We start from the raw sequence: 21,833 nt of genomic DNA on the forward strand, positions 1-21,833 counted from the left end.
GGACTATACATAATACTAAAATATGGAATCAACCAAAGTGGTCGTCAACAGATGAATGGATTTTTAAAATGTGGTGTTTATGATTCAGCCATAAAAAAGGAACAAAATCCTATTATTCGTGGCAACATAGATGAGCCCAGAGGACATTATGTTAAGTGAATTAAACTAAATACAGCATGTTCTCACTTATGTGGAAGCTAAAAACATTGATCTCATAGAAGTAGAGAGTAGAATAATGGTTACTAGAAACTGGGGGTAGGGTGGAGGTGGGTAGCCAGAAGTAGGGTTTGAGCTTTTTTCCCACATAAATGTCTTTTGAGAAGTGTCTGTTCATATCCTTAATAGCTTACCAACCAAAAAACATCCAGGACCAGGCGGATTCACAGCTGAATTCTACCAGAGGTACAAAGAGGAGCTGATACCATTCCTTATGAAACTACTCCAAACAACAGAAAAAGAGGGAAACCTCTCTAACTCATTTTATGAGACCAGCATCATCCTAATACCAAAACCTGGCAGAGACACAACAAAAAAAGAAAATTTGAGGCCAATATCCCTGATGAACATCGATGCAAAAATCCTCAATAAAATACTGGCAAACCAAATCCAGCAGCACATCAAAAAGCTTATCCACCATGATGAAGTCAGGTTCATCTCTGGGATGCAAGGCTGGTTCAACATATGCAAATCAATAAATGCAATCCATCACATAAACAGAACCAATGACAAAAAACCACATGATTATCTCAATAGATGCAGAAAAGGCCTTCGACAAAATTCAACAGCCCTTTATGCTAAAAACTCTCAATTAACTAGGTATTGATGGAACGTGTCTCAAAATAATTAGAGCTATTTATGACAAACCCACAGCCAATATCATACTGAATGGGCAAAAACTGAAAACATTCCCTTTGAAAACTGGCACAAACATTGATGCCCTCTCTCACCACTCTATTCAACATAGTATTAGAAGTTCTGGCCAGGGCAATCAGTCAGGAGAAAGAAATAAAGGGTATTCAAATTGGAAAAGAGGAAGTCAAATTGTTTGCAGATGACATGATTGTACATTTAGAAAACCCCATCGTCTCAGCCCAAAATCTCCTTCAGCTGATAAGCAACTTCAGCAAAGTGTCAGGATACAAAATCAATGTGCAAAAATCACAAGCATTCCTATACACCAATAACAGACAACAGGGAGCCAAATCATGAGTGAACTCCCCTTCACAATTGCTACAAAGAGAATAAAATACCTAGGAATGCAACTGACAAGGAATGTGAAGGACCTCTTCAAGGAGAACTACAAACCATTGCTCAATGAAATAAAAGAGGACACAAACAAATGGAAGAACATTCCATGCTCATGGATAGGAAGAATCAATATCGTGAAAATGGCCATACTGCCCAAAGTAATTGATAGATTCAATACTATCCCCATCAAGCTACCATTGATTTTCTTCACAGAATTGGAAAAAAACTACTTTAAATTTCATACGGAACCAAAAAAGAGCCGTATAGCCAAGACAATCCTAAGCAAAAATACAAAGCTGGAGGCATCACGCTACCTGACTTCAAACTATACTACAAGGCTACAGTAACCAAACACGGCATGTTCTCACTCATAAGTGGGAGTTGAACAATGAGAACTCATGGACACAGGGAGGGGAACATCACATACGGGGGTGCCTGTCGTGGGCTCAGGGGGCTAGGGACTCAGGATAGCATTAGGAGAAATACCTAATGTAGATGACAGGTTGATGGGTGCAGCAAACCATCATGGCTCGTGTATACCTATATAACAAACCTGCACGTCCTGCACATGTATCCCCAGAACTTAAAGTATAATAGATAAATAATTAATTAAAATAAAATAAAATAAAAAATAAACACCTTCTGAAGGCAAAAAAAAATAATAAGAATTTCATTTTATTTTGCCAACAGCTTTAAACCAAAGGACATTAATGCTGTTTTAGAACTAGAAATTTTCTATGCAGTTTGTTCTCACGTATGCCTTCCCACAATGATAATCTGGAGACTTAAGAAGTTTACTCTAGATTCCCCAAGGCTACAGACAGGCCAAACTAAATACTTGAGAACACACGTACCTCTGGCAACCAATAATAAACTTTTCTGATTGTTTTTCTTTCTCAAGTACCTAGAGAATATTTTCAAGTCTGTGGAGAATATTTACATAAGAGTCAAGTTCATAAATAATAGTAAAAATTGCTGGATTTTGTTCATACAGGTCAAGGAGTGAAGCAGTAAACCCTAGAAGCAACAAACAAGTGTTTATTGAAAACATATTACATAAGCAATAGTCTCTTTTTTGCTTTTTACTTTTAATTTACATATCATTGTATATATTTATGGTATACATTGTGATTATTTTTACTATATTTTAAGTTCTGGGATACACGTGCAGAACATGCAGTTTTGTTACATAGGTATACACGTGCCTTGGTGGTTTGCTGCACCCATCAACCCATGATCTACATTAGGTATTTCTCCTAATGCTATCCCTCCACTATCCCCCCACCCCCTGACAGGCCCCAGTGTGTGATGTTCCCCTCCCTGTGTCCATCTGTTCTCATTGTTCAACTCCCACTTATGAGTGAGAACATGAGGTGTTTCGTTTTCTGTTCTTGTGTTAGTTTGCTGAGAATGATGGTTTCTAGCTTCACCTGTGTCCCTGCAAAGGACATCAACTCATTCTTTTTTATGGCTGCATAGTATTCCATGGTGTATATGTGCCACATTTTCTTTATTCAGTCTATCATTGGTGGGCATTTGGGTTGGTTCCAAGTCTTTGCTATTGTGAACAGTGCCATGATAAACATATGTGTGCATGTGTCTTTATAGTAGAATGATTTATAATCCTTTGTGTATATACCCAGTAACTGGATTGGTAGGTCAAATGGTATTTCTGGTTCTAGATCCTTGAGGAATTGCCACGCTGTCTTCCACAATGATTGAACTAATTTACACTCCCATCAACAGTGTAAAAGCATTCCTGTTTCTCCACATCCTCTCCAGCATCTGTTGTTTCCTGACTTTTTAATGATTGCCATTTTAACTGGCATGAGATGGTATCTCATTGTGGTTTGATTTGAGAAGCGTCTGTTCATGTCCATTGCCCACTTTTTGATGGATTTGTTTGTTTTCTTGTAAATTTGTTTAAGGTCTTTGTAGATTCTGGGTATTAGCCCTTTGTCAGATGGATAGATGGCAAAAATTGTCTCCCATTCTGTAGTTTGCGTGTTCACTCTGATGATAGTTTCTTTTGCTGTGCAGAAGCTCTTTAGTTTAATTAGATCCCACTTGTCAATTTTGGCTTTTGTTGCCATTGCTTTTGGTGTTTTAGTCATTAATTCTTTGCCCATGCCTATGTCGTCAATGGTATTACCTAAGTTTTCTTCTAGGGTTTTTATGGTTTTAGATCTTATGTTTAAGTCTTTAATCCACTTTGAGTTAATTTTTAATAAGTTGTAAGGAAGGGGTTCAGTTTCAGTTTTCTGCATATGGCTAGCCAGTTTTCTCAACACCTTTTATTAAATAGGGAATCATTTCCCCATTGCTTGTTTTTGTCAGGTTTGTCAAAGATGAGATGGTTGTAGACGTGCGGTGTTATTTCTGAGGCCTCTGTTCTGTTCCATTGGTCTATATATCTGTTTTGGTATCAGTATCATGCTGTTTTTGTTACTGTAGCCTTGTAGTATAGTTTGAAGTCAGGTAGTGTGATGCCTCCAGCTTTGTTCTTTTTGTTTAGAATTGTCTTGGCTATACAGGCTCTTTATTGGTGCCATATGAAATTTAAAGTAGTTTTTTCCAGTTCTGTGATGAAAGTCAATGGTAGCTTGATGGGGATAGCATTGAATCTATCAATTATTTTGGGCAGTATGACCATTTTCACAATATTGATTCTTCCTATCCATGGGAATGGAACGTTTTTCCATTTATTTGTGTCCTCCCTTATTTCCTTGAGCAGTGGTTTGTAGTTCTCCTTGAAGAGGTGCTTCACATCCCTTGTCAGTTGTATTCCTGGGTATTTTATTCTCTTTGTAGCAATTGTGAAGGGGAGTTCACTCATGATTTGGCTCTCTGTTTATCTGTTGTTGATGTATAGGAATGCTTGTGATTTTTGCACATTGATTTTGTATCCTGAGACTTTGCTGAAGTTGCTTATCAGCTGAAGGAGATTTTGGGCTGAGACAATGGGGTTTTCTAAATATACAATCATGTCATCTGCAAACAGAGACAATTTGACTTCCTCTTTTCCAATTTGAATACCCTTTATTTCTTTCTCCTGCCTGATTGCCCTGGCCAGAACTTCCAATACTATGTTGAATAGGAGATCCTTATTTTTTACATTTATACATTCTCCCCCAAAATTCATAATTTTGGGAAATACATTGGGTTTTAATGTGCTACCTAGTCCCCCTCAAAAGTCTGTGATTTAGCAATGAGGAAACTGACTCAGGAATTAGTTACATACATTGCTCAAGGATATGCAGTTAATTAAGGAAAATTGAAATACTGGCTTCCTGAGTGAGGTTCTAGTCTTCTTCAATCAACACTAGGCTTGATAGATTTGGGAGGAGAGCTTTCTGATTAAATCTTGATTTATAAAAGCATTCTCCAACGTAATAATGCCAGCTGTGTTCTAAATGCTAAAAGACTGCCTTTATGTCACAGCTTATTTTGAAATTTATAAGAATAGATGGGACAGAGATACTACTGGAGTATGCCTGCCACATTTGCTATAAAAGAAGAAAGAAAAGATTTGATCTGAGCCTCCTCACTATTAATGCAATATTTTCTCCTCAGCTCACGTTCTACAGTGAGTTGGGCAAGCACTCTGTGAAATTATTTCCACTACAAAGTCAGTAGAGTAAGAATGTAAAGTATATTCAAGACAGATATCCCAAAACTTGATGAAACCAGTAGCCTTTAGATCAATTAGTGACGATCTACTTTTAAAAAAATCCAGAGATCAATGAAGCAGAATAAATAGCTCAGAAACAGACAGTGAGATATGTATGCATTTTTACTTGATAAATAAGGCATCAGTAAACTACAGGGAATGGATTATTTAACAAATGGAGCTGAAAATTTTACTACTTAGGAAATTAAAAGTTTATATTCACCTTTTACCATGTTAAAAAAGTAAATTCTCTCTGTGAAATAAGATGGCTTGCTGGTTGAAATGTAAAAATCAAAGAGTGAAATGAAAGCAGAAACTGAATGTATTGTGTTGTGGTTTAAGGATAGAAATCAAAGTGAAACTGATATTTGTTTATATGAATTGTCAACTTATTTTTTTCCCACTTGGATATTTCCAAAACCCTTTAGTTAAATTTAAAATATGAAGCCTTTATCAAACTAGCTCTCAGTCTTCACTTAAGATGAGTAATTTTTCTTGAAGCATGGTAAAACAGCTGTCTTTCAATCATAAATATTTCCACAGATCTAGAAAATATTGCTGGCTGTGTGCAGGGGCTCATGCCTGTAATCCCAACACTTTGGGAGGCTGAGGTGGCAAGATCACTTGTAGCCAGGAGTTTGAGATCAGCCTGGGCAACATAGTGAGACCTCTTCTCTACAAAAATAAAAATAAAAATTAGCTGAGTGTGGTGGTGCATGCCTGTAGTCCCAACTACTTGGGAGGCTGAGTCTTGAACTCAGGAGTTGGAGGATATGGTGGCAAGCTATGATCAAGTTGCTGCACTCCAGCCTGGCGCAACAGAACAAGACCCCTCAAGACTCTCAAAAAAAAGGAAAAGATACAAAAATATTTTTTGATTCTTCCTTTTTTCTCTTGCTCACCTGTCATTTTTTATCCCCCTTTATAACTTCTCATCAATTTCTCATCAGCTTTTCTCATTGTTTGATTACTTTCCTCAGAGTTTAATGGTCTTTCCTCATCCTTTTCCTCCGCAGTCCTGTTTTGATTTTCTGCCAAGTTAAATATCTACTGTTTTTTGTTGCTGTTGTTGTTTGTAGAGATAGGATCTCACTATGTGGCCCAGGTTGGTCTTGAATTCGTGGCCTTAAAGGATTCTTCTATCTCTACCTCTCAACTTATCGCCCAAAATGCTGGGATTATAGGCATGAGCCACCATGCCCAGCTTGTTTTTCATATATTTATATCCTTAAAATATACTCATTTAGCCAGGCATGGCGGCATGCCTCTGTAATCCCAGCTGCTCGAGAGGCTGAAACAGGAGGATCACTTGAGCCCAGAAGTCCAGCCAGAGCAACATGGGAAGGCTCATCTGTTAATAATTAAAAATAAAAAACACTGTATACATTTATTGATTTTCCTCACTATTAAAATATTCAGTCACTAAAAAATGAGAGTAAAAAAATTATTAACAAAATAGTAATCACACTTACTTTTACATTTTCATCTTTTTCTTTTCAGCCATTCTTTTCATGTATACATATGCAAGTGCATTGTTTGTGTATGTGTGAGAGAGACAGAAGGAGAGAGAGAGAGAGGAGAGAGGGAGTTTAAATCATGATAATGGTAATTATGCACTTTAGAACTGTTTTTGTCCTATTTTGATAACATTATAGCATAACATTATATACTGACTCCTCAGTAGCAGGGAAATATGCATTGAATGGATGGATGCACCATCGTTAATTGAACCTTTCTCCCTGTGGAACACATAGACTATTTCCAACTTTCCATCATTATAAATAGTGCTTAGATTAATAGGCATTTACAAAACATTTGTGAACATCTCCGATTATTACTAAGCATAAATTTCTAAATTACAACATTTTATCTCACATGCCTTTTAAAAAAATTTTTGTCTTCCCTTGGGGAAAATGTAACTAAAAACAAAATCTGCCAACTCCAAACACCTCTCCACAAAGGTCACAGAGAAAGAAAACAATCTTATTTATGTTATTTTTTTTAATTTTATTTTTTTTTGAAACAGAGTCTCACTCTGTCTCGCCTAGGCTGGAGTGCAATGGTGCAATCTCAGCTCATCGCAACCTCAGACTCCCAGGCTCATGCAATTCTCCTGCCTCAGCCTCCCGAGTAGCTGGGATTACAGGCATCCGCCACTGCACCCGGCTAATTTTTGTATTTTTAGTAGAGACAGAGTATCACCATGTTGGACAGACTGGTCTTGAACTCCTGACCTCAAGTGATCCTCCCGCCTTGTTCTCCCAAAGTGCTGGGATTACAGGCGTGAGCCACCGCGCCCGGCCTTATTTTTGAATAAGCATTAAACTAGAATGTGGTGCACACCACAAGCAATCTGCTCAGAGATTGAAAAGACAGAAACAAACCTTACCTTTTTGCATAGCCATGCAGAAGCAACCGTTATATACATGTGTTCAAGATAAACAATACCTAGTTCTCAAGTAAGAGAACTTGGCACCATTTGTCACACAAAGTCCATCCTAAATTCACCTGGTAATTGGAGTGACCATCTGTGTCAGCTAATTAGCTTCATCCAGAGGAGAAACAAATTTTCTATGTCTTTATGACATGAGTTATTTTGCAAATTGGAGCAGATGTCCACTGAAGTTAGGCTCCTAGCCTTCCCCAGAAACCGGGAGATAGGGTTAGGGATGCTGTCTCCCTTCACATTTACATTAGGAAGAGATGGCCCAGGTCCTTGAGAAAGATATTCCTGGGTCATAAAACTGACGAAAGGTCTGACTTTTTCTTTTTTTTTTTTTTTTATAAGGAGTCTCTCTCTGTCACCACGCTGGAATGCAGTGGCATGATCTCAGCTCACTGCAACCTCTGCCTCCCGGGTTCAAATGATTCTCCTCCTTCAGCCTCCCGAGTAGCTGGGACTACAGGCACCTGCCACCACATCCAGCTAATTTTTGTATTTTTAGTAGAGATGGGGTTTCACCATCTTGGCCAGGCTGGTCTCGAACTCCTGACCTCAGGTGATCCACCCATCTCGGCCTCCCAAAGTGCTGGGATTACAGGTGTAAGCCACCATGCCTGGCCCAAAACACACCTTTTATATCATGTCTATGTTTCAAGGAATAAGTGTATGTGAAAGAAAAATTTCCCTTTAAGTTGTTTTTGTTGTTGTTGTTGTTGTTTTTTAATACTTTAAGTTTTAGGGTACATGTGCACAACGTGCAGGTTTGTTACATATGTATACATGTGCCATGTTGGTGTGCGGCACCCATTAACTTGTCATTTAACATTAGGTATATCTCCTAATGCTATCCCTCCCCCCTCCCCCCTCCCCCCACCCCACCACAGGCCCCGGTGTGTGATGTTCCCCTTCCTTGTGTTCCCTTTAAGTTCTTAACAACTGTACTGTAAGCCTGGAATGGACCAAAGATGGTTCCAAAATCGTTGGTGGTCTTTCCATTGAGAAGAGGGGCCTGTTTTTCTTCTCCTTGACCTGGGACTGTCTTTGACCAATTGCATATGGTGAAAGTGACTCGTATTTTTCCCCCTTTGGATTCTTAAAGCTCTCAGCTATTCTGCTGACAAACTCCCTTGGTGAAAAGATAAGGTGGAGAGGCCATAAGACCACATATAGGGGAATCATTGCCAAGGCACCAGGCAGTGAGGAAAACTGTTGACACTTTATACACTAGCTACTAACTGAAGAGGATGCTACAGGCCAGCTGAGCCCTGCCTAAATTCCTATCCCATGAAATAATATCTAAAAACAGTCCGTGTTTTGAGTCACCAAGTTTTGAGATTTTGTGTTATACAGCAAGTAAAGATTTCAGCCATTGTGGGTTCATTGGCTCAATGCACAGCAAGTTAATATACTGAGTGAGATACCAGAGATTGCGGCAGACAGAGTCTAATAATCATATGAGAAGGGAGGAAACCTCAAATCCTCCTCTCCAAGGAGTATGGGGCTGGAGGTTTTAAGGAGCTAGGAGTGGGCAGAAATGTGGGATCCGTGATTGGTGGCAGAGTGCAGAATGAAGTCTTGGGGCGGGGAGAGGAAGAAACTGCATTATCATCCTGATTTCATTCTTCTCTGGGGCTCTTCAAACTGGTAGCGTCAGGCTTCTGCTGGCATCCAGGATCTGAAGAACATCTTGAACAATTCTTAAACAAAAGCCTTATGATTCTAACTTTGGAAATCCTATCTATGGAAACAGTGGGCATGCAAATCGTCCGTATCTGGTGCTATGTGGCTTTTAGTTACAAGGAAATGGGCCAAAGGGCAGACTGATGAATGCTTAATTATAACTGTATTTCTGTTCAGAACCTGACATGTAGTTCTTGTTAACCCTGTGAATACAGTATCATAGTCAGAGCAGGGCACAATGCTGAGTCATGTTTTTTTTTCTTTTTTCTTCCTTTAATAAAAGTAAAAGAGCACTGTATTAAGATTCAGGGCGGGCTGCAGTTGAACCAGGAGGATAGGCTTCCTTTTCCTCTGAGGGTTTCTCAGCTTTAAAGCTGGAGAGCAGTTTGATTTCCAAAGTATTTTTTTAACTTTAATATCTAATAAAATACAGTTTCTTTTTCAAAGAGGATCTCCATGTAGCCACGAAAAAATATCTACTTTCATATCAAAAATTAAAAAAGCAACATAAAAAAGTAGCCCAATTCAGAAAAAAAATAGGGGAAAAGATTCATTTGTGATGCTCACACAAATGTATTTCTACCAGGTTGCAGATTAAAAACAAAGGAAAAAGATCTTCAATCACAGACCTCCTTCCGTCTCAGGAGGGTTTCAACAACTCAAGTGCAAAATAGAGAGATCAGTAAAGAGAGAGGCAACCGTAGACAACCAATTTAATAACCATAGAGACTGGTGGGGAGGAGGGGGATGGGTATCAGAAAAACCAAGCAAGAGGGAAAAAGCTGAGTATGGAGATGGATTGGGGTTGTTTGCTCAATGCCTGTGTTAATAAAATTTATTCTATCTTTTAAAAAAAGTTAAATAACAAATGCCAATTATTATTTTATTTTAGCCCACTGGGTAAGAAAGGTTATATAAATTCTTCCCTGAATCAGGAAAATGCTCAACTCTGATATTTTTTATTTTTCTAAAAGGTTCTTTTAGTTTTCAGCATTTTCATATGCACTTTATTGGCATTTGAAAAGGAATCAGCCAGGCACTGTGGCTCATACTGGTAATCCCAGCAGATTGGGAGGCCGAGGCAGGACGATTGCTTTTGAGATTAGCCTGGGCAGCATAGGGAGACCTCATCTCTAAAAAAAAATTAAAAATAGCTGGGCGTGGTGGCTCCAGCCTATAGTCCCAGACACTTGGGAGGCTGAGGTGGAAGGGTTGCTTGAGCCCGAGAGGTTGGGGATGCAGTGAGCTATGATTGCACCAACTGCCCTCCAACCTGGGGGAAAGAAAGAGAAAGGAGGGAAGGAAGGAAGGAATGAAGGAAGGGAGGGAGGGAGGGAAAGAAAGAAAGAAGGAAGGAAAGAGAGAGAGAAAGGAAAGAAAGAAAGAACGAAAGAAAGAAAAAGAAAGAAAGAACGAAAGAAAGAAAGAAAGAAAGAAAGAAAGAAAGAAAGAAAGAAAGAAAGAAAGAAAAGAAGGAGGCAGGCAGTTAGGAAAGGGGCAGGGAGTGGGTTTAGCAATGTGCAATGAGCATCTAATAAATTAGAGTTGCTCTTCAAAGAGGATCCCCATATAGCTATGAAGAGTTAGCTACCCATAGGCGTATATAAGTAGGTGTGGGGGAGATATACAATACATGGTGATTTGAAGGACACGAAGGAAGCTCAGAGAGCAATAGTGTAGGGTAAATCTCTTTCCCAGAAGGAGCGTGGGGTGGTTGACACACTTCTGTCTCACAGCAGGACTGAGCTAACACAGCGTGGTGTGGCACAGGGGAAGATGCGTGGGTGCAGCCAGGAAGAAAGAGGTCAAGCAGAGGCCGGGATTCAACCACCCCGACAATAAAGGATGACAAGGGCATTGCCGGTGATCAAATGCCTGAAGGACAGAATTTCTGAATGGCAAAGAAGTAACATGGAGTCTGACCAGACCAGAATATGGGCACCACAGGGCCCATGACAGAAGACCAGAAGGAAAAAGAAGGCTAGGCCATTCGATGTTTTGTGGTTTTGTTTATCTGGTTTGTTTTCCCATGCTTAAGATGTTGAACTTGTCTGCAGGGCTGGGAAAGAATAGTTCTGAATTTGAGGATCAACTTTGCCATATTGGAAGTAGTTTCCTTCACTTTTTTACTTGCTGGGTCCTATTTGGTGTTCCCTTACATAATTTCAGGATCTTTTCCCCTGTGGAAGTCAAGTTGCTACCATCAGCAATAGCCAATCCTGGAGTGGCAGGAATTCTTGCTGTACGTGGTGACCTAGTGACCTTAAAGTTGCTATCTGACTACTGGGAACCTGGTAAGCAGCCTCCGCACTCCCAGCTGTCCAGTGTCCTCACTCTCTGGTCTTACAGTCTCCAAGGCCCCAGGCTAAGTAGGAACCCAGCCTATGAATAAGTCTCCCAAGGGTTTTCTGGCCCCGAGGTTATCCCCCTGAGACAGGTGAACAAAGCCTTCCCTCCTTCCAGGGTTACTTGTGAAGCAAGGAGGGCCTGAGTTTCTCTCCCACCCTCTCACTCCGAGCAGACATTCAGGCCTGGCCTTGAGCCTCTACACCAGGAATCCCCTCCTTCTTCTTAGACTCACCATTGAACACAATGCTTCTCTTTCTTCCCGGAAGGTGGCAGCGCCTGAAACGTCTCAGAAAGCTTCCAGCCTCTGCCTGCTGGGCCTCGGCAGCAATTTGGCTTTGTTTCAGCAGTTGGATCACAGTTGAGAGGAGGGGGTTGCAGGGATACTGACAGGGAAGTCCTTCTCAGGACAAGGAAGGAGGCCTGGTGAATGGAAATACAAGGCCTACAATTGGAGTCCAAAAAAATAGAATGTTATCCCACAGGAGAAGGTAATAGATGTCAGGCACTAAAAGCAGTAAATCATCTAGAGGTTAAGAGGGGAATGAGAAGGGAGTCAAAATGTAGCAAAGATGGATGAGGAGGTCACTTTAGTGTTCAGGGAGAAAAAATGCTGTGACCAGTGAATCACAGGGAAGACTTGAGACATATATTATACACATATTAATCACAGAGAATATATATATATATAGTCTCCCTAATTCTAATTCAAGGTACATATATATATATATATATATATATATAGTCTCCCTAATTGTAATTCAAGGTACGTATGTGTATATATATATATATATATATATATATATATATATATATATATATATATAGTCTCCCTAATTCTAATTCAAGGTACATATATATATATATATATATATATATATATAGTCTCCCTAATTCTAATTCAAGGTACATATATATATATATATATATATATATATAGTCTCCCTAATTCTAATTCAAGGTACATATATATATATATATATATATATATAGTCTCCCTAATTCTAATTCAAGGTACATATATATATATATATATAGTCTCCCTAATTCTAATTCAAGGTATATATATATATATATATATATATATATATAGTCTCCCTAATTCTAATTCAAGGTACTTAATGTCAATGAGATAATATAAGATATGTGTGTGTATTTATATATGCATGTTACTTCATTGAGACTCTGTGTTCTTATAATTTAATATCTAATTCACAGAATTTTTAAAGGATCAATGAGGTAAAGAAAGAAAAACACCAAAAACATGGGTGGGCATGCAGTTCAGCTACATTCCTCGCTCTTGTCTCTTCTTGTTAGTTGTAAATGCCTTGAAAGCAAAAACTGTCTTGTCCATCCTGGATTCTCTAGCACTTACAGTACTGTAGCTTAATAACTGTTTCACGATGCATGAGACTGCCATTTTGGATACAGAATTAGCAGAAGGGGGGTCATGGTGAGAGCAACAAGTGGTACAGTATGAAAAAGAAGAAAATATTATTATTCTATTTGGTTTGAAAAGTAGCTAGAATAGGCAAGATTGATATCTAATTCATTATTTGCCCAGTATTGTGCTAAGGACTTGATGTATATCAACTCAGTGAATCTTGACAGCAACCCTAGAACTCAGGCACAATTTTGACTCCCATTTTACAGATGAGGACCACGAGACATTAGGAGGTTAAGTAATTTGCCTAAGACCACACAGGAATAAGTGACACAGCTGGGATTTGAACACAGCTGCCTTCCTTCATTCCTGGGCTCCAAATCTCTACAACATACTATTTCTGGATGAAATGGTATTATGCTTATCCAAGACATAAATGTTTTGGCAAGGTTAAAACATTTTGGAAAATGTAATGGGTACTTAACTAATGTTCCTATATGAGAGGAAACAATTATCAAAAGCTAATAGCTTAAGGAATCATCACATTTTTTATTTTTTATTTTTTAAATGGAATCTTCTACACACTAAGGCATACTGTTATTTTTGAGCAGTCAACGAGATAAGTATTTAGAAGCCCTCTAGAACACAACATTTTCAAAACATCTGGAAATTTTGTGTGCTGTAAATAACATTAGTGATTAAAGTTTGGACCAATGGATTAGAAAAATAAATGGAAAATATTTTAAATGCATATCCTAAAACAGTTATCTAAATCTTACTACGAAAAAAAGATATAAGCATACTAATGTTTTTGCTTTCTGTATTAATGGTAAAATTATGAAATTACCTCTTTTCCTTAATTCAGTTGAAGATCCATTTCCCAGGGCTATATAATTAATCATAAAATAACCTGTTGGTAAGATTCACAATGAATACCTGATGTGGAAAAATTATTATTTTAATATTTTATTCTCTATTTTTGCTTATTTTATTGATGTGCATATTTTACACACAACTCCAAGGAATTTTAAGGAGGAATATTATACAAAGAGAAGTGATCCACTATTTCTTCACTCTAGCATTGGGCTAGTTACTTTATATACTTCTTTCCTGCAGTAATCCTACCTTCATTATATGAATGAGAAGAGATTGAGTCTGAGGGGCTAATGAACTTTTCTAAATTCGCTGCTTGGGGGTGTGTATGGAATGATTCTCTCATTTGACTCTTTCAAAAGTTGGTCCTCTTTTTACTATATATATTGCCTTTCATTGTTGCAACACATTTAATGTTCCAAATTCACTAACACAATGAATATTATACCCTATTATAATCCCATCGGACCTTATGGCCTATTATTCTATCTGACAATTGGAAAATAATAGATAATTACAGTGAGATACATTGGATTCTAAAATTTGCTTCAAGTCATAAAACCAACTAGCTACAATGTGAATACTTAACATCACTTCCTGTGCCTCCCCTGTCCTTTCCATCACATGATTTTTTTCCATGCAAATACATTATAAAACTTTCTATTGCATGCAATTTGCCACCAATTGAATCATTTTGTAGTTGTCAATGTATCTCTTTCAGAATATTAAAGAGGCCTGTGCCATGTTAATTACGCTAATTTGGGGACATTAACTTTATAATTGTTATTATACTGGTTATACACTGATGTTAAACTGTCTGATAAAATTTACCTTGAAAATTGTAAGATAATTTTTCCTTCCCGTCAGTTAGCGTATGCGAAGGCATTTGGACTTTCCTTATAGGCAATGGGATGTCCTTACCGAGCTTATGGGCAGGCCGTGATGGGACTTGACTTGCGTTTTAGAAACAACTAAGATAAAAGTATAGATGACAGCTGTTGGGAAAAGACTCTGCAGACAATGACACAAGTCTAGAAGTCTTTTCCAATTATGTAGATAAGAGATGAGCAGATAGTAAAGGTGGAAAGTTGTAGAAAGATTTCAGATACTCGAAGTGATGCCATAATAAAAACTAGATGTGTTATTCTGTTTTAGAGAAAAGAGGAGAGAAATAATAAATTGAGTTTGGGACATTTAAAGGGCTTTCTAGGTAAAAGAAAAAATAGTTGATTAGAGACTGGTATTTAGAAGATGGGGCCTATGGATTTCTTCTCCAAGGTGCTCAGTTATTTTTGCTGTATTTTTCCTTTTACGAATGTTTTGACCTGAAAAAGCAAAATTGCCTAGGATGAATGAGCACTTGGGTATAAGAGAATCACCAATATGGAAAAAAGGAATTGCTGGGGGTGGTGGCACATGCCTGTAATCCCAGCTACACAGGAGGCTGAGGCAGGAGAATCGCTTGAACCCAGGCAGTGGAGGTTGCAGTGAGCCAAGATTGCACCACTGCATTCTGGCCTGGGTGACAGAGTGAGACTCTGTCTCAACTAAAAAAATTTACAAAAAAAAAAGACAACTAAAAGTTTTCCCAACTCATGGTAGTTAAGTGTGTCATTTTAACATATAAAAATTCGTGTTTAAACTAGACATTGCTGAAAAAATAATTCACTTTCCTTGAGAGAAAGAGTGTTGAGCTATGAGTCCAGGCAGCCTTTTTATAAATCTCCTGATTCTATTGAGTAATCAATGAATTGTTCTGAGATAGCCTCATCTTTGAATTGAACTAATAACATTATCAGTCTCATAAAAGATTTAATAACAATTCATATAAGCAGTAGAGGTCCTAGCATGTAATACATGCCCCCAGAACATTAGACAATATTATTTATTATTTCTCAGAAGTAGAAATATATATTTAGCTACAGAAAATTTTTCAAACCTGGCTGTTATATACATAATATTTATAACATATAGATTTGCTTGAATTTATAGTACTATCTTAAATTATAAATATATTATCTGCATTGAATATTGGTATAGGGATCCAATGATTATAAGGTATATTGTTGTTAAATAACATAAATAACATAGAGTACTTTATATTTTCAAAAATTAATGCACTGTTTGTCTTTACAAGGCAAATCTTGACATTCTTTCTCAATTTGGAGAATAAAAAATTATCAGGCTTTTCAACATTCTTCTACAAGTTAATAAAACAGAAACAAAAGGAGACTTGTGAAAGAATGTCAAATAATTAGAAAAATGTACAATTTATTAATATAAATGTATAAAGCAAATAGAACACATTCATTTAAGCTAGACAGACGTCGACACAAACTTTCAAATTGGATTGTCAGTTTCATCAAATTTGGAATAAACAGAAAAATACAGTATTTACAGATTTTAGTAAAACTAAACAGAAATGGTACAAGAAGGAAATTTATTTTTCACAGAACAAAAATGACAATTTTGACTCAGGTACCCACATAGGAGCAGGTGAAGTTCTCAAAGGACAACTTTTTTTGTTGTTGTTTTTTTGGTAAGCAAATGAAAACCAAGACATATTTTTCTGCTCTTTTATTTATATTGATGAAACCTCAAAGTCTGTACTCAAATACTTATTAAAATATATCCATACATATATGATTTCTTGTCAAAATGCATCATTCTTCTTCAAATACAAAAACAAAAATATTTTCACTTTCCTAAAACCATCACTTTTTCTTAGATCACACTTTTATCTTTCTTCTGAGTATAGCCCTGGAAAAGCAGTTTGAATGCAAAGCCCCTTGACAAAATATCTGCTTTTTAAAAATGTTAATTTAATACACAAGAAAAAAAAAGCCTCTGGGAGAAGAGGATAAAGAAGTTAGGATTTCTAACTCCTAGGCTAAAAAACAGCATATCAGAAAGCCATTCAATTTCCTTTACAATGCTGATTAAAGCCTTCATTTTAATCTTCATTATAAATGGAGGACATTAATCCCTAAGCTGTTTTTAAACAATTAATAGTAACCTTCTTCAACCCTATCCATGATTTCCCTGAAAAGCAATAGTTGAGTTCTATTTATTCAGTGTAATGGACTGGCATTTCATTTTAAATAAAACCATATAAGCATGTCTCTATGTGAGATATAAATGTTACACTCATCTATGTACATAATGCTATGTCGTGGAGAAATTACAGTAGTAAAATAATGCAGTCTTTAGCAATGTCATTTTGAAGTAAATGATAAAAAGAGTAGATGCTTGAACCACCTTAGAAAACAAATTACTATACTTTCTAGAACAATCAAAGCATTGGGTTTAATATCTCATTCTGCTGAAATAGCTTATAGAATCATAAATAGCTGATGCACAGTTCCTGTAATTAAGATTAGGCAGTTAAGAACAGTAAATCAAAGTTTCTTTGGGGTCCATTTTGAGAAAGTAATATAGATTTTTGTCATTTGCATGGCTTTATAGTAAAGTTAAAAAAACATACACAACTACACATACTGACTTCTGGAGTAGACGCTCGGTGACTTCTTTCCGGTGTGATAACTTTTTTGGGTTGTGCGATGGGAAGGTATCGAGTATCTGTAGCTACTGCTCTTTTCGTTGCAACAAAAAACGCAGCAGAACAGAGCTCCTCCAACAATCAGCACCAGTGCCGTGGTCCATCCTAAGTAGAGAGCTTCTCCAAGCTCACGTTTTTGGGCAACATTCACTATTGAGTTATAGAAATCTCTGATGATGGCATTGGCAACCCAGCTCACAGGGATGAGCACCACCATGCCCGTGATGATGAAGATGATTCCAGCCGTCAGCAGAATGTGAGCCTTCACCTTCTCATTGTCCCCCGTGCACCTGGTGCATTTCATGCCAAGGATGGCCATCATGAAAGCCAAGAAGGACATCACGGAAGCAGCACACATCAGTCCTCTGGCTGCCTGTAGGTCCGGAGAAAGAGCCAGCAGGGAATCATAGATTTTGCACTGCATCCTGATGTTAGCCTGCCTCACGCAATTCATCCACAGTCCTTCCCAGAAGTTTTCAAAAACCACGATGTTGTTTTCAATGAAGGCCGACACTCTCCACTGAGGCATGACAGTGACAGCCACTGTGCCCACCATTCCAACACCACCAAGAAACAGCCCAGCGATTTCTAAGGCATGGGTTGCCATTATCCTCTGGGATGAGTTTTAGCCAGCTGGACTCCGGAACTGCTACTTCTGCTTTGAAGCAGGGTTCTCTGTGCCACAGAAGAGAACAGTTTTTCCTGTAGTAATGAACTCGGAACCCAGTGGTTTTTCAAATAAGAGCTGCTTTGCTACTTCTGGCCAGATAGTATCCAGTGCTGGCTGGCTGAGATGGCCCTGCTATTGGCTGCAACAGGTAAACTTACAAATCAGGTGTGGCAACTTTCTCAGCCAATAAAAGGTGGATGGTAATCCAGGTGTGTCTAAACCAACACTTGGGTACTTGGAACAGCTAGACCTGCACATAAACATTCTTTATACTTCTCGGTCTTCCAAGAAGACAGCAGTATGTTTACCTGTAGGCATAGTTATAAGTGGTTGCATAAGCATCAAGAAATGAGCCGATCCCTTGTAATGTGAAAGGTGCACCTTGTACAGGCAATTCTGAAACTCTTAATAAGAGCTGCTGGGACCAAGGGATAAAATAAATTATCTGCCGAAGAATTCTGCAACGCTGTTGAAATGCCAAAGTGAAACGAGAGTAGGGGATTGAAAGATTGCTTTTACCTGGGAAGCCACATTCTTTGGGACACATGTGATCCAAGTGATTGATTTAATTTTTCTACAACTTCAAAGCAAGCTCTACTGTGGTGAAATCAGGGAACAGATCATGCCAGAGGACAAAATAAGCTAAAGTAATTAAATACACAAGGCTGTCCTTCTCCTTGGCACTGAAAACATATTGGAGTTCTTTAAGCCAGAAAAAATACTCATTGACACTTTTCTGATAATCTTCACTTATAAAAACATTTTTTGCCAAAATAAAAATCACCAGATGATTATCTTATGTATCCAGCACTATAGCATTAAAATAAGCTTATGAGCTTATTTTGTGGTGTTATTCTTGCTGCTTTGAATTCCTGGGCTGAAGGAACTAGAATTCTGAAGATGACACAAGACCCTTGGGCCTATACAAATGGCTGATATTTCAAAATAAGATATTTACAAGACAAGGGAACTATATTTACCAAACTGTATTATATTAGGTATTAACCAAATATGTTTTCCTACCTTTTAATATTATGTCTGCAGTAGGACATAGAAACCCCTAAACGCAAGACAATTTGAACTTTCTTCTCAAAATAATGATGCTCTAACAGTAGTGCTATACTAAGCATAAATGTTTATCTGAGAAAATTCGACTAGCAATTTTCTTCTGGAGATCACCTTAAGCTCTCTGTCTGATCTTTCCAAAGTTTAAGCTGCCACTTCATTTTCTTTTCTTCTTAACATCATAAAAAATGATTTTCTCTTTACAGTTTTACTTTCTCTCTGTTTCATTGGACTACCTTAAATCCAAATATGGGAGAAAATCGTTTCTGCTCACTGATTAAACTTTGAGAGTTTCATGGTTCAAAAAATCTGAGTCATTTGTGGATATTATTAAAACAAAAACTATATGGTAGAAAGGGCAAAAGGAGGATCAAGTAGACTGTCTTCTAAAAAAGAGGCAGGACAGACGCACAGTAGTATGAGTTGTTATAATTTTGTTAAACAGACGTTATAAACCTTATAAAAAGTTAAAACTTAATATTTACAGAAATATTCTCATTTGTTGACCTGTGAGGTGCCAAACTTCAGGGTGTCCCTTAGGCTGATGCAGAAAATATGCAGCATTTGGCCGGGGCGGTGGCTCACGCCTGTAATCCCAGCACTTTGGGAGGCCGAGACGGGCAGATCAAGAGGTCAAGAGATCGAGACCATCCTGGCTAACACGGTGAAACCCCGTCTCTACTAAAAATACAAAAAATTAGCCTGGCATGGTGGCGGGCGCCTGCAGTCCCAGCTACTCGGGAGGCTGAGGCAGGAGAATGGCATGAACCCAGGAGGCAGATCTTGCAGTGAGCCGAGATCGCGCCACTGCACTCCAGCCTGGGTGACAGAGCAAGACTCTGTCTCAAAAAAAAAAAAAAAAAAGAAAAGAAAATATATGACATTTTCTTCATCAAGTTTCTATCAGTTACAGATTTGTGGTGGAGGGAGACTTAGATTAATCTTGGGAAAATAAGATTTTAAAAGTTGAGATTTTAAACTTTCAAAGTTTAAGAAGTGAGCAGAAAACATTTTCTCCCATATTTGGATTTAAGGTAGCCCGATGAAGCAGAGAGAAAGTAAAATTTCAAAGAAAGGATCATTTTTATGATGTGAAGAAGAAAAGAAAATGAAGTAAAGCTTAAAGATTTTCCTTTTGTGCAATCCACAAAAGGAAAAATGACATATAAACAGAAGATATTTTTCATCTTTAATTGTCAAACTGGGAAAAAGGAGTGATTGACAGAACTGAAAAATGAAAAAGAAATAATATAACTGGTTGAGATAATGACTACGTGAAGCTACATTTTAAGGGATGTCAAGGCATATATTGCTTCATTGAAATTTCTTTTCGAATTCCCGTGTGGCATGTTTCTTAGGAGCTCTGTTTAAATATTGCTGACTATCCACATCAACACAGGAACGCATGAGACAGAAGCAGAAAGCTCTGCCTCTGAGTGCCTCAGCCGTTGTGGGAGCTGCTTCCCAGGTACGCATTCATATTTCTTGGCTTTGTGTATTACCAAACCTCTCTTCCCTTGAGGCTTGAATTTTACCAGGAACTTATTTTACATAAAAATATTTTCCTTATTTCAAAAATATTAGGTACTTTACTATTGAAATTGTTCTAGCCAAAAGATGAGGATCTGAGTGGGAAATTAACACTAGGTTCACATTAGAATTATTGTACAGTTAATTCCCTACTAGGAAGTGGCCCAGGGTTTCCAAATAGGTTCCTTATCAGACAATGATACAGTTAACTCCATAGTATTTATAAATAACCATGTCCTAAAAGACACTGGAATAAAAAGACAGAAAAAAATGGTAATATTGAGTTTGCTAAAGACAAAAGGGGCCTAAATTCAAAGATAAAAGGAAACTGTTATCTACTTTTCTGTCCTGCTGAATTGATTAACTTGGCTACAAAATTCAGATAGCAGTAATAGAGATATAACAGATTGATAACATTTTTACTCTAATTTAGAACTACAGAGCAAAATACATCGATTATTCAATAGTTTGTACTTCCATTTCCATGAAGAACCACAGTACTACCAAGAACCCAGGAGAGAAATGAGAGCTCATGTCAACCCCCTCTCCACCCTCCCTCGGGCTTTTCTGTCTGTCAACATCATCATAAGGCATGATTTAAGTTTAGCAATTAAATTTGCTAAACTGCATTCAGCCCTGATAATAGCATAACACAGGCAAATGCTTTTTCTTCCTAAATGATAACATACAAATCACTATCAGATTGTCTTATGCCCATTAATCCTTAACCTAATTCAACTCCACAGTCTTGGATTTCTATTAATTCTTATCACTGTTTGAAATAATTTTTGCTTCTGCCTATCAAGCAAAGGTCAATTTCTTTTGTTTTCTGGATTTGCTTTGTAGTTTTCTGTTGTGATGACAGTTTTTCAAGGGTGTTTATTTTTAACTATGTTCCACTGTTAATTAACCATACTTGGCCAACCATCTTGTCCTGAGAGAATAAGTGAACATATCAATAGGTCTCTGTGTTGTTCCGAAAATACTGTTGTGCATTGCTGTATGTTCTCTTGAACCATCATCTTGTTTGTTTTTCATGATGGCCAGCTATGCTTCCAGTTCTCTATCCATTAGCAGCCCTCTCTTTTTACCATGTCTCTCTTTTTTCTTTTTCTTTTTTTTTTTTTTTTTGAGATGGAGTCTCACTCTGTCATCCAGGCTAGAGTCCAGTGGCTTGATCTCAGCTCACTGAAACCTCTGCCTTCCAGGTTCAGGCGACTGTCCTGCCTCAGCCTCCCGAGTAGCTGGGATTACAGGTGCACACCACCACAGCTGGTTAATTTTTGTATTTTTAGTAGAGGCGTGGTTTCACCATGTTGGCCAGGCTGGTCTCGAACCCCTGACCTAAAGTGATCTGCCCACCTC

The 21,833-nt window shown here is 37.8% G+C and overlaps 1 protein-coding gene and 1 long non-coding RNA gene across 2 annotated transcripts; both read right to left on the bottom strand.

Moving 5' to 3' along the window:
• Positions 1–11,035: 11,035 nt before the first annotated feature.
• Positions 11,036–13,668, bottom strand: LINC00307 (long intergenic non-protein coding RNA 307). Its single transcript, NR_038855.1, has 3 exons — positions 13,619–13,668; positions 11,623–11,810; positions 11,036–11,221 (listed from the first exon to the last, which is right to left on the bottom strand). It is a non-coding gene; the product is annotated as a long intergenic non-protein coding RNA 307 (long non-coding RNA).
• CLDN8 (claudin 8) lies at positions 15,891–17,982 on the bottom strand. The gene has a single exon (NM_199328.3). The coding sequence runs from the start codon at positions 17,808–17,810 to the stop codon at positions 17,133–17,135; it is 678 nt and encodes a 225-aa protein (NP_955360.1). The 5' UTR covers positions 17,811–17,982; the 3' UTR covers positions 15,891–17,132.

This window comes from Homo sapiens, chromosome 21 (assembly GCF_000001405.40).
Source record: "Homo sapiens chromosome 21, GRCh38.p14 Primary Assembly".
In the NCBI taxonomy this organism is placed as follows: Eukaryota; Metazoa; Chordata; class Mammalia; order Primates; family Hominidae; genus Homo; species Homo sapiens.